The following is a 13,132-nucleotide window of genomic DNA, read 5'->3' as shown; positions in this document are numbered from 1 at the left end:
CGCCCACCGCCCGAGCCCCAGACCTCAGGCCCCGCCGCCGCCCACGTCCAGCTCCGGCGGCAGCCGTGGGAAGCAGTGTTCCAGAGGCGGCCACAGCGCCGCTAGCTGCCGGCGCGCGCCGCGGAACCCCGCGGCCGAGAGCCGGCCGGCCCAGCTGGGCGGGGACACGGCGGCCTCGGGCTTGTGCTCCAGCCCCAGCCGGGCCCCTCGCGCCGCTGCGGCTGCTGCGCGGTGCGGTCGTGACAAGTCACAGCAAACTTGCCCTCCGCGCCGTTCCAAGCCACCAGGAAGCGCAACCGGTGCCCCTGGGGATCGGCGAAGAGGCCCTCCCGGAGCGGCGCCCAGCCCTCCAGGCTGTCGGGCTGCTCGTCCTCCATGGCCGTCGGCGGCAGCGGCCCTAGGGCTTGGCGGGCGCGGGCCTGACCTCGTCGCACCGCCTGTCAGGGGACAGTCCCAGGTGAAGCATTTTTCGCTCCACAATTGGTATTTTAACAATATGAATGAAAAAAAAAACCTCAGGTGTTTTGATAGAAATAACAGACGTGCCTAGGAATCATCTTCCTTGAAGGGAGAGGAGGGTCTTATTGAACTTGAAAAAACTAAATAAGCAAAATTGATACATAAGGACACCCTTCTCTTTACCCTTACCTATTCTTAACAACTTTAATTCATTTCTGACACTGTCACCAACTGAAAAACGGTCCAACTAAAAAAAAAATCATAAAGGTGAGAAAAATTGTGACGTGTTCTATCCTAATCCAATATATCTAAACCAATTTTACTGATAGAGAAAATATATTAAGTGAATGATGTAAATACATTAATATAGGTAACAACTCTTTGAAAGTAAAGTTTGCACATAACATGAAATACATAGAGAATTACTGCCGTCTCGAAGGAGAGAACCCTTGATGGGGAGTGGTAGTCAAAAAGGTGTACGAGCAAGTCATCTGTTGCAAGGTGATGGGAGGAGATATTTTTGCAGGCATTCAATATCAGTCAGAGGTTTTAATGATTTTTGTTTTTTATCTTGAGAGTTGGAGACTAGAAGATCTAAAATAGGAAAATTTTGGCATATCCATAGATAGAATGGAAGCTCTTCGCCAAAAAATAACGTGCTCCAAGTCATGAAAAATAGCACACATGCACAATTAACTACAGAGTTACACAAGATGGTGTCTTTTCATTCGATTTTATTTGAACTCTTATTCTTCTCTATCTTTTACGCTTTGTATCCTTGTTAATTAACTCTTCCATTTTTTCCTCATCCTATGAGGCACTTTAAACATTTTATTCAATAACTCTTAAGGCAATTTTTACAATTCTATTCACATATAAAATTGTCATAAGCATGTTTTGTGAGTGAAAAATTCTAATTTGTAATGCATATCAAGTGAAAAGCCTCAGTTCAGCACTCGTCATATCCAAAATCTGTGTTATATAATAATGTAAAAGACATATTTTCACACATGTAGCTCAAATGAGATTCTTACTTAACATTTCTCTCTCTTTTTTTTTTTTTTTTTGAGATGGAGTCTCGCTCTGTTGCCCAGGCTGGAGTGCAGTGGCGCAATCTCAGCTCACTGCAAGCTCTGCCTCCTGGGTTCATGCCATTCTCCTGTTTCAGCCTCCCAAGTAGCTGGGACTACAGGTGCCCGCCACCACGCCCGGCTAATTTTTTGTATTTTTAGTAGAGACGGGGTTTCACAGTGTTAGCCAGGATGGTCTCGATCTCCTGACCTCGTGATCCGCTTGTCTCTGCCTCCCAAAGTGCTGGGATTACAGGCGTGAGCCACCACGCCCGGCCTACATTTTACAAAATTTAACTCAATCTTTTATTTTAAAAAATGTGCATATACTGCCTGTTCAAGTACTTAATCTTTTTATTTATTATTTGAAATTGGAGGTCCATCTTTTTAGATTGTTAGAAGGTCTTCACGTATTTGAATGAGTTATTAAGTTGATACAACCATTTTGGAAAAATAATTATCATTATCTACTACATTTAAACACATAATATATGACCAGCAGTTTCAACAGAAACACCTGGATATTCATCAGGATAGAACGGATTGGAAAGCTCCATATTCATTCAACAGGGTGCTACACAAAACAAAAAGGAATGAATCACTGGTCCATAACATAAACAGATTTCACAAATGTAATTTTGAGTGAAATAAGCCAGAAAAAAATAAATACCGTATGCTTCCATTTATATGAAGACAAAGATAGGCAATATTAATCTATGGTAACATATGAGACTGACTTCTTTTTCTCAGCATCAGCTGAGAGCCTGAAAAATATTTTTCTGGGGTGCTAAAAAAGTGCCAGATCTTAAAAATATTTGTACAAAAGATAATAATTTTTTTATATAAATAGGTACAAAACACAAATATGTACAAAAATGTATTTATAAATATGTTAAACAAGATTACTATTTATACTTCAATATAATTTTTTTCACTTTTGTTGACATTAGTAAACCATCACACTTAATAAACAGCCATTTGGAATTGTTCTTGATTTAGGTATTTCCTTGATTAAATACCAAGTAGGAACATACCTTGATTCTAAAATATAAAGAATATTATTCCATGAAAGTTTCCATGAAAACTATCTTGCATTCTAAAATATTTTTAAAAGTACTTATTTTCAAAGTTCAGTTTCCTATTTTAAACAAAAGTTGAGCTAAATTACATATAAGCTAGTCCCCAGAATATTCAGTAAATATCAAATGAAGGTGTGAAAGTTAAAGATTTCAATTTTTTACTAGTTAATTTGCAGTGCTCTATTATTTTGCTTAATAAACAATTTTATGCTAGAAATAAGCAGATTTCCCTATTCACATTATCTTTACCAAGAGCACTTAAATAAATACCATTGATTACTTGCAAAATACAGATTGTAGATTCAGAGCTCAAAACTAACCCTCTGAGGATGTAATTCAATTAAAACAACCCATAGTTGTGAATTCACCTCACCAGTGTCCCTAAGACAAGAAGCTCTTTCTCACATCAAAGTGAATTATTTTAATTCACTTTGGATGTTAGGAATATCCTAACTCCTTTGTAATTAAAAAAAAAAAAACAAAACTTCTGATGCTTCTTTATATCTTAACAATCATGAGGTCTATAAAAATATGAACACAGAAGTTTGGGTCAGTTCAATGACTGAACTAAAACATTATTTCCCAACATGTCCATGTTGTACAAGATGATGGGGTTGTTATCTGTGATGCCATTGCAAAGATCTTGATGGTTCCAAAACACTAAGCATCACATAAGCCATGTTATAGCTGTCGCCCCAAATTTACCAAACCATTTGGATTAAAACTCTCAGTAAGGACCTCTGAGGCACAAAGATCTATGAGTAACTCCTTAACCCCTTTGCTCTTACTCTTCAGGTACAATTTCAAATTTTCACCTTTCCCTTTCTGCACTGACCTTGGGAAAGTCACTTTATCTCTGTGATCTAATTTTCCACATCAATAATGTATCTATACTTGGCATAGAGAGTTATGAGAATAAAATAATAACATATATGGGCAATTTCTGTGAATACCAATTGTACAGGTGGATTTTTAAATAATAGATTTAGGGCCGGGCGCAGTGACTCACACCTGTAATACCATCACTTTGGGAGGCCGAAGCGGGTGGATCACCTGAGGTCAGGAGTTTAAGACCAGCCTGACCAACAAGGTGAAATACCGTCTCTACTAAAAATACAAAAATTAGCCAGGTGTGGTGGCGGGCACCTGTAGTCCCAGCTACTCAGGAGGGTGAGACAGGAGAATTGCTTGAACCCACAAGGCGGAGGTTGCAGTAGGCCGAGATCACGCCACTGCACTCCAGCCTGGGCGATGAAGCGAGACACCATGTAAAAAACAAACAAACCAATAAATGAAATATATTTAGGAAAACTATTATAAGAAAAAAATTGAAAGCATTAAGAACTCTATTATGGACTGAACAAAAAAAGGAGAATTGGTACCATACCTTGGTAAGTTTATTTTAATAAGCCCAATTTCTATTAGTTCTTCAGTGTTTCCTCTTGCTCCGTGAATGTATGTTCCTTGCCTCTATCTTATCCCATTTTTTCTATTGTTAACAGAGAGTTGTCGCAAGTTCTATTCTCAATGCCTATTGCATTGGGCAATAGATGACTCTGGTTCCCAACTCAGAAAAACCTCATTTTTAAGAAACGTTTGAGCTTTGACTTTGATCTCATTCAGAATATTTTGGTTCAAAAGTTTTTTGTTTTTTTGTTTTTTTTGAGACGGAGTCTCGCTTTGTCGCCCAGGCTGGAGTGCAATGGCGCGATCTCGGCTCACTGCAAGCTCCGCCTCCCGGGTTCACGCCATTCTCCTGCATCAGCCTCCCTAGTAGCTGGGACTGCAGGCGTCTGCCACCACGCCCGGCTAATTTTTTTTTGTATTTTTAGTAGAGACAGGGTTCCACCATGTTAGCCAGGATGGTCTCAAATCTCCTGATCTTGTGATCCGCCCGTCTCGGCCTCCCACAGTGCTGGGGTTACAGGTGTGAGCCACCACGCCTGGCCCAAGAGTCTTAAGTTTGTGTAAATAAGCACCTTTGAAAACTACATCTACAAATGGGAATATGGAATAAAAAGGACAAGCCAAAGGTTATGGAACAAAATAAAACATGAAGAAAGAGAAATAGAAACACAATATTACTATATACAATATAGTAATATATTTTAAAATACAAAAAACGCTAGCAAAAAAAGCAATATGTAAACAAAAGAATTGGAGTAAAATAATAGAATTTGAAACAGCACAATCTGCTGAAAATATACAAAAGACAAATTAGGGTATTCCTGAGCTCACTGTTTATAATATTAGAACATGTATATAAAAAGGAAAAGTGACTTTAAAATGTCTGGGGGCCAAGGAATATATAGTTTGTTACATTTTATTTACAAACAGTTTCTTTGACTAGGGAATCAATTTAAATTTTCTGTTTTGGAAATAATATAAATATATCTTTATTTTAGACTTTTTGCTGTAAAGTTTCTTAAATATTTACAACTTTAGGATAATCAGTGTACATTTCAATATATAATGTCCTAAAAATCAAACAGCTACCAAACATTGAATTGAAGTTCTGACTTATATAAATCATTTGCATAAAAACTGATCATTAAAAACAGTATCTAATGAACATTTTGGCCCCAATATTAATTAAAACTGAAATGATAGCATTACAAGCTAAAGATTAATTTCAATGACATGTCATTCAACCATTTTGACATAATTGACTTATAATAATCTAAAATTGACTATTTTTATGACATATTTGACCTAAATGAAGAGAAAAAAGCTTTGACTCATTCTTAATTACTCTTTCTAACCAATTGATGGCCAATAACTGAAATTAATTTCAAACCATTTTTTGTTATTTTAATCTTTTAAACATGTTTTACTTTCAGTGATTCATTTTCTAACATTCATAGCCAAAGCCCAGGCTCTACCCATCTTTGTCTACCTTAATGACTTTGTCAATTGTTGGCATACACTGGGTCTTAAAAACTTGTGTTTCTTCCGAATTAATTAATGAAGTAGAATTGCTCTTATAGGGTTTCATATACCATTACCTCCAAAAGAGTACATCAGAAGTATTAGAAAATACTGATATTTATAAACAGATATTTATCTTATGATACAAAGAGCTAGAGCTGTTTTATTTTCTGTAAAACTAAGAATAACTTCTTGATAACGTAGCTTTACAAAAAGAAAACCCAACACATTTCCATAAATAATTCTCTGAAATAACTATGTGAGTTTGTGTCTTTTTATATACATGTAGATATACATATACTTACACATCTATACATATATATGTAACATAAAGGATATGAACATTAGGACTGTTTAATGTCTATTTGTCTTGGAAAGAAAAATATACTTAAAAATATTTCTTAATTGGGATTTGTAATCGTACCAACTTAATTGATAAACTTGGCAACTGCTTTTATGTTCTGTCTCCTTCCATAAATTTTTCAAAATACTAATTCAACAAAGAAAAAGCTCTAATTTTCATTGGAAATAATTTATATACTTGTTTAGAGCAGAGAAAAATTAAGAAAAACTTTGAAATGGTCTCAAAAAATTGCTAAATATTTTCAATGGAAAACTAAATGTTAGTTTAGCTGATTGTATGGGGTTTCTGAACCTTTCACTTTTTGTTTGTTTTACCTATTTCACAACTGTGTAAATTGCCAATAATTCCTGTCCATGAAAATGCAAATTATCCAGTGTAGATATATTTGACCATCACCCTATGGATATTGGCTAGTTTTGCCTTTATTAAGCAAATTCATTTCAGCCTGAATGTCTGCCTATATATTCTCTGCTCTTTGTATTCTCCTTTGAACCCGTTAAAACATCCTGTGGCACTCTTATTTATTAATCAGTTAAATAAAATCATGAACATATATTCATTTTACATTTGTATGAGAACCATTATTTTTCTTTTCTTTAAAAAAATTAATTATCCTTTGACATTGGGTTGACATTTTCTTAAGACATGCCATAAACAGAGGATATCAAGTTTCTCAATGTCAGTTCTAGAGGAAAAAAAATTCCTTATAAAAATTTAACCTCATGTGTAACAGTTTCCATTCCCATAGCAATGACATTTGATATACATTGTATATATTAATCTGGGAATGATGTAAGGTTCCAAGTATAATTTTATCAGTGAACTCAACTACTTGATTACTTTCACTTATTTAAATATCTAGTTCAATGTTGTCCAGTGGCATTGTGGATTTAGGTAATTTTACCAGGCAGCCGTTCAATTTCTGCACTTTCTATTTGCCCATGCAGAACATAACACATTTTATAAGTCAAGGTATAGGCATCTGGTGGCATAATTTTAATTTGTTATCAAATAAAAGCCTCATCAAATTTGTCTAGAAAATAACTCATTATTTACTTTATTTTAGGACTGTATCACTATGTAATGAGATACAAATATATGTAAATGTAAGTGCCTAAGAGGCATGCAGAGAGCCTAAGATGTATGCAGTATGCCTAACAGGAATGCAGAGAGCTTCATTTTCATTGTCAGCTGCTCAGTTGTTTCTCAGGAAAGAAATGTGGCCAACGGACACCATTTAAGAGATATATAGCAACAAGTTCAGAAAATTCTCATAAATGGGAGTGGCTAATGCATAGACAATAGCATTGACCTTTGATCCATATATATATATATATAAAATATACCTCAAATACATTTGGATCAATTTAATTGTGAGTGCTATAAACTACAAATGAAAGTAAAAAAGCAAACCTGTTGGTATTTTAGAAGAATGAAAGATTATTAACTCATGGCCTGTATGTGTTTGGAATGAGAAGGACGTACATAGCTTTCTTTGGACGGGGTGGAATTGAAATTGTGATTTACAGTGACTAAAACCTGACTGCTTTCACATTTTTTTTTCACTGTTGGGGGTGAAATTCTTGATTGATTTGTGCATTGGGAACTTTTTTTTTTTTTTTGGAGACAGAGTCTCGCTTTGTAGCCAAGGCTGGAGTGCAGTGGCGGGATCTCGGCTCACTGCAAACTCCACCTTCTGGGTTCACACCATCCTCCTGCCTCAGCCTCCCAAGTAGCTGGGACTACAAGCGGGCGCCACCACGCCTGGCAAATTTTTTGTATTTTTAGTAGAGACGGGGTTTCACCGTGTTAGCCAGGATGGCCAGGATGGTCTCAACCTCCTGACCCTGTGATCCACCTGCCTTGGCCTTCCAAAGTGCTGGGATTACAGGTGTGCGCCTGCCTGAGCCACTGTGCCTGGATAGAGAATGACTCCTTATGTGACATGCAGAAAATATTTTGTGTCATTCGTGGTACATTTATCATATTTTCTATAGGTTTGTACTATGTTGCTCCACTTCTTAGAATTCCAAGTAGTTCAAAGCCAGCAGGGACTGGTATATTATAGCATATTTAACCTAAGCAACTCTAAAAGCTAACGAAACCAAGTATCTACAAACTTTAGCCATAGCTACCATCAACATGAAGAATGTAATAGGCAAAATGTTTTACATGCTGAATATGCACTACTGAATTCTGTATATATTTTTTGCAGTTTCAATTTAAAAGTATACTAGTTAGATATTTCATCTATACCCTGGTATAGTAATAAAAATTCAGATACTGCTCAACGAGGAAGCACATTTTCAAAGCAACAGACCTGAAAACTAGTATTTTATTTGATATTTTAAATGCTTATTTCATTTTCTGGTTAAAGATGTTTGTGAAGGTAAAATTTAAAATAGATACTTTATGTTATTCTAGTATATAACATTGAAATTAAATTTTTAGTAAATGTAGAAAAGGAAAGTCTGAAGCATTGACTGAGAAAGATTTAGTAAATGGAGAATTTTGACTATTAAACATCCCATTTTAACAAAAATATGCATAAAATATTCTTAGGATGATTTAATTAACCTTTTAATAAATACGAAAGACATTATGAAAAAATTAAAGAATACATCACATTGCAGAATCAAAAGTAATAAAAATCACTCAAATTCTACTGCTCAGAAATGAAAATAATTGCTGAACATTAGGTGGCAGTATTTCAGACATTCCTATATAAATATACTTGAATGAGGCCCAGAGCAGTGGCTCACGCCTGTAATCCCAGCACTTTTGGAGGCCGAGGCGGGCGGATCAGGAGGTCAGGAGATCGAGATCATCCTGGCTAACACAGTGAAACCCCGTCTCTACTAAAAATACAAAAAAATTAGCCGGGCTTGGTGGCAGGCGCCTGTAGTCCCAGCTACTCGGGAGGCTGAGGCAGGATAATGGCATGAACCCCGGAGGCGGAGCCTGCAGTGAGTGGAGATCCCGCCACTGCACTCCATCCTGGGCGAAAGAGCAAGACTCCGTCTCAAAATAAAAATATAAATAAATAAATACACACATGCATTCTTCATTTATAAAATACATTTAATATTTTTAAATAAATAAAAGTCAAAATAAAACTGATAAAATGACTGTAGTTATTTGTATGAATATATGCATGTGTGTACAGATGCATTAAGAAATCTTAATCTTCAAAATGATGAACATTTTAGAAGAAATACTAAGAATAATGAGTTTGGGATCTGTATCATGCTCTCTTTTTCTGTTTTTTTGAGACGGAGTCTCGCTCTGTCGCCCAGGCTGGAGTGCAGTGGCACGATGTCAGCTCACTGCAAGCTCCGCCTGCCGGGTTCACGCCATTCTCCTGCCTCAGCCTCCCGGGTAGGTGGGAGGGACTACAGGCGCCCGCCACCACGCCCGGCTAATTTTTCGTATTTTTAGTAGAGACGGGGTTTCACCGTGTTAGCCAGGATGGTCTCAATGTCCTGACCTTGTGATCTGCCCGCCTCGGCTTCCCAGAGTGCTGGGATTACAGGCTGAGCCACCGCGCCCTGCCCTGGGATCTGTATCTTTCTAAGTAGGTGATTCAGTATCTAATGAGAAAATTATCACTTAAAAATTCAAAATGTTTTAGTTTGTTGTTATTATTATTATTATTTGTATTATTTTTAAAGATGGGGTCTTCTTATGGTGCCCAGGCTAATCTTGTTAATATTTTTATATTGTCATGGTGTCTTAGGCAGCTCAAGCTGCCGTAACAGAATACCAGAGACTGGTGTCTTAAGCAGACATTTATTTCTCACAGTTTTGGAGGCTGGGAAATCCTCCACAAGGTGCCGGCAGATTCAGTCCCTGGTGAAAGCCCCCTTCCTAGACTACAGGCTCCTGCCTTCTGACAATGTCTTCACATGGCACAAAATAGAGAAAGACAGAGAGCTGTGGTCTCAGTTTCTCTTCCTATAAGAACACTAATCCCATCATGGAGATGCACATGATCTTAACCAGATAAATTTTTTTTGGATATTTTGAACTGATCAAATAACTCACATTGATTCAAAATATCACAGTTATTAAAACTCAGGCACAAAATCAAGTTAGTTCATCAGTAATTGAGGCAGATAATTTTAAATCAAAATATAGCTACACAAAACACCATTTCCTAATTATCTTAGACTTTAAAAGTAGTTAGAGGAAGAGAAAGCTCATCTCTGTATTACAGTATAACGGGTTTCCCATCCTAGGTGTCTTAATCTATTTGAACAGCTATAACAAAATACCATAAATTGGTAGATTATAGGTAATAGAAATTTGTTGTTCACAGTTCTGGAGGGCGGGAAGTCCTAGATCAAAGTGCCGTAAGATTTGGTGAGGACCTGCTTCTTGATTCATGAATTGCCATCTCTTCCCTGCATCCTCACTTGGTGAAAGGGGCAGGAGTCTCTCGGGACTCTTTTATAAGTGCACTAATCCCATTCATGAGGGCTCTACCGTCATGATCTAATCCCCTCCCTCTAAGGCCCCACCTGCAAATATCATCATATGGGTGTTACTTTTCAACAGCTGAATTGTGGGGGGCACCATCATTCAGCGTACAGCACTGTGAAATCCCTAATATCGGGTTTTCTTTTTATTTTATTTTATTTTTGAGATGGAGTCTCGCTCTCTCACCCAGGCTGGAGTGCAGTTGTGTGATCTCGGCTCACTGCAAGCTCCGCCTCCCGGGTTCACGCCATTCTCCTGCCTCAGCCTCTGGAGTAGCTGGGACTACAGGCGCCCGCTACCACGCCCGGCTAATATTTTTTGTATTTTTAGTAGAGATCACCGCACCTGGCCCCTAGATGAATATTTGAATAAAAGTTGTATGTATGATGATAAAACAACAAGAAACTGAATTTTTGCAGAAAGTAAAAATAAAACTTGTCACTCTTTATATAGGCAAATCAGAGACTATACTTGAGGTTTTAGAAAAGACATCAGTATGTTCCATATAAAGCATGTACTGGGACCCCGTCAGTCTTTTTCACCATATAATATCAGTGTTTTTAATAGTACCTGGGATGGCTGGGCGTGGTGGCTTACGCCGTAATCCCAGCACTTTGGAAGGCCGAGGAGGGAGGATCACGAGGTCAGGAGATCGAAACCATCCTGCCTAATACGGTGAAACTCCGTCTCTACTAAAAATAACAAAAAAATTAGCCGGGCGTGGTGGCGGGCGCCTGTAGTCCCAGCTACTCCGGAGGCTGAGGCCGGAGAAAGGCGTGAACCCGGGAGGCGGAGCTTGCAGTGAGCGGACATCGTGCCACTGCACTCCAGCCAGGGCGACAGAGCAAGACTCCATCTCAAAAAAAAAAAAAAAAAAAAAAAAAAAAAGTACCTGGGACATGATATGAACTCAATGACTATTTATTGAATGAATTACTTGAACAAGTTTATGCAAGAAATTGACATAAAATTAAACATTGTCTCCTTATACCATATAGTGTCTACAAAAACTAAGTTGATACAGAACCTGTATTCTAACATGATTAAATTTGAGCCAAGTACATTTCTCTCTTAAGAATTTATAAGTTTATAAAGAAATCAGGGCCTGGGAACTGAATCATTAATGAAAGATCTCAAAGGCAATATTCTTTTCATTGTAATTAATATTAAGTCGTTAAAGTAATAATAAATAACTAACATTTAGGTTCCTGAAAAAAATGGTTAAATTGAACATCAAATAGTTTGCATTTATATCACACTGTACAATTTATATTTTTTATGCTGCTTTACTGTAAGATTTCATTGAACAAATGCATCTTATGATTTCAAGGTAAGGTATTCAAATATGCCTTTTTAAAATGTAATGCTGTATTAGTGATTTTAAAATATGTAAAAAAAATGTGTGGGAAATACTAGAAATGTTATTTGAAATTAACCAATTCTGGGTTTGCTTATTTTTTTTTTTTATTTTATTTGCCAAACTGAGAACAACAGCCTTTACACATTTTCTATTTTTCTGGACTTGATTCTTAGGAACTTTAATTTTGCACTTTTGCATTCCTCTATAAATGTTAATGTCTTAGCCAATGACATTTTTCTAGATAAATTCAAAAGCTTAACCTAAGTAATGTAATGGTGGCATTTATGAAATTGACTCCTGGTTCTCTCTTTAAATTCTTTTTATTGTTTATTTCTATGGCACCATTACACTATGCTATCACATTGTTCTTGTTTTATTCCCCATGTTTAAAAAGCTGTATATTCTTTGCTGAATCTTAAAGGTCACTTTGAAACCTCAAGACCATGACTGAAATACAGTGAAGATTAAAGATAAAAAGGAGAAAAAAGGTTAAATTATAAAACCTCTAATATCATTACTCATATATATGATATACACAGAGATGCATCACCTAGGTCCTCCCTGAGAGCTGTGTCAGTAGACAGGACTCAGCTGTGAGCCCCTTCAGACGTCACCTCAGCTGCAGAGCTTCCCCCTGCCTAAGGTCCTGAGGTTCCCAGTTGTGGTGCATATGCAATGACTGATTGAGGTGAGGCAAGGAGGCAGGTGAAAGAGGTGGGGAGGGGACTTGGGGCCTATAAAGACTCAGTCATGTCATTGCAATGTGAAAGGATGCCAGTGGGCCATTTTATCTTCAAAGTCCCCTGTGAGATGAGCCAAAGCTGTGGTCCAGGACTTCTTTTCAGCCCAGCTTTTTCCCTTTCCCTCAATCCAGCTTCCTTCTTCTCCTTTTCACAGTGCCTTGGATTCAAGGGCACTCCCTAGTATATATCTCCATGTCCAAGTCTGCTTACTAGAGAACATTGTATCATGAATGATACCATTCTTCAAAAATATGGGGTACTTTGAGTGAAAGGAGTGGAACGGTATAGAAGAACAGCTTTGGTAGAGTAGTTAGAATAGAAGCTACTCTACATTGGGTTGATGCATGAATGGGATATTAGGAAGTAAAGTAGCAAATTGAAAACTCCTTTCGAAAGAAGAGAGTTAGAAAAGGGTCAGCAAGATAGTAATTGGGGCCTGGCTGTGATGGATCACGCCTGTAATCCCAGCACTTTGGGAGGCTAAGATGGGAGGATCACTTGAGGTCAGGATTTCAAGACCAGCCTGGTCAATGTAGCGAGACCCCATCTCTTTAAAAAAATGTAGTTGGAAGCTAGAGAATAGCATAACAAAAAAGAGGGTGATTTTAGAAGACAAAAGGGCCCACTGGAGCTCTCTCACATTGGAGTGA

General features: G+C 37.5%; 1 annotated feature.

Moving 5' to 3' along the window:
• Positions 56-145: a silencer, noted in NCBI's record as "silent region_6257". NCBI's record gives its function as "represses an Ori minimal core promoter by ATAC-STARR-seq in GM12878 lymphoblastoid cells {active_cell/tissue: GM12878}" and the evidence as "EXISTENCE:reporter gene assay evidence [ECO:0000049][PMID:35858748]".

The sequence above is a fragment of the Homo sapiens genome, chromosome 15 (assembly GCF_000001405.40).
Source record: "Homo sapiens chromosome 15, GRCh38.p14 Primary Assembly".
In the NCBI taxonomy this organism is placed as follows: domain Eukaryota; kingdom Metazoa; phylum Chordata; class Mammalia; order Primates; family Hominidae; genus Homo; species Homo sapiens.
This window is presented reverse-complemented; position numbering and strand designations above follow the sequence as displayed.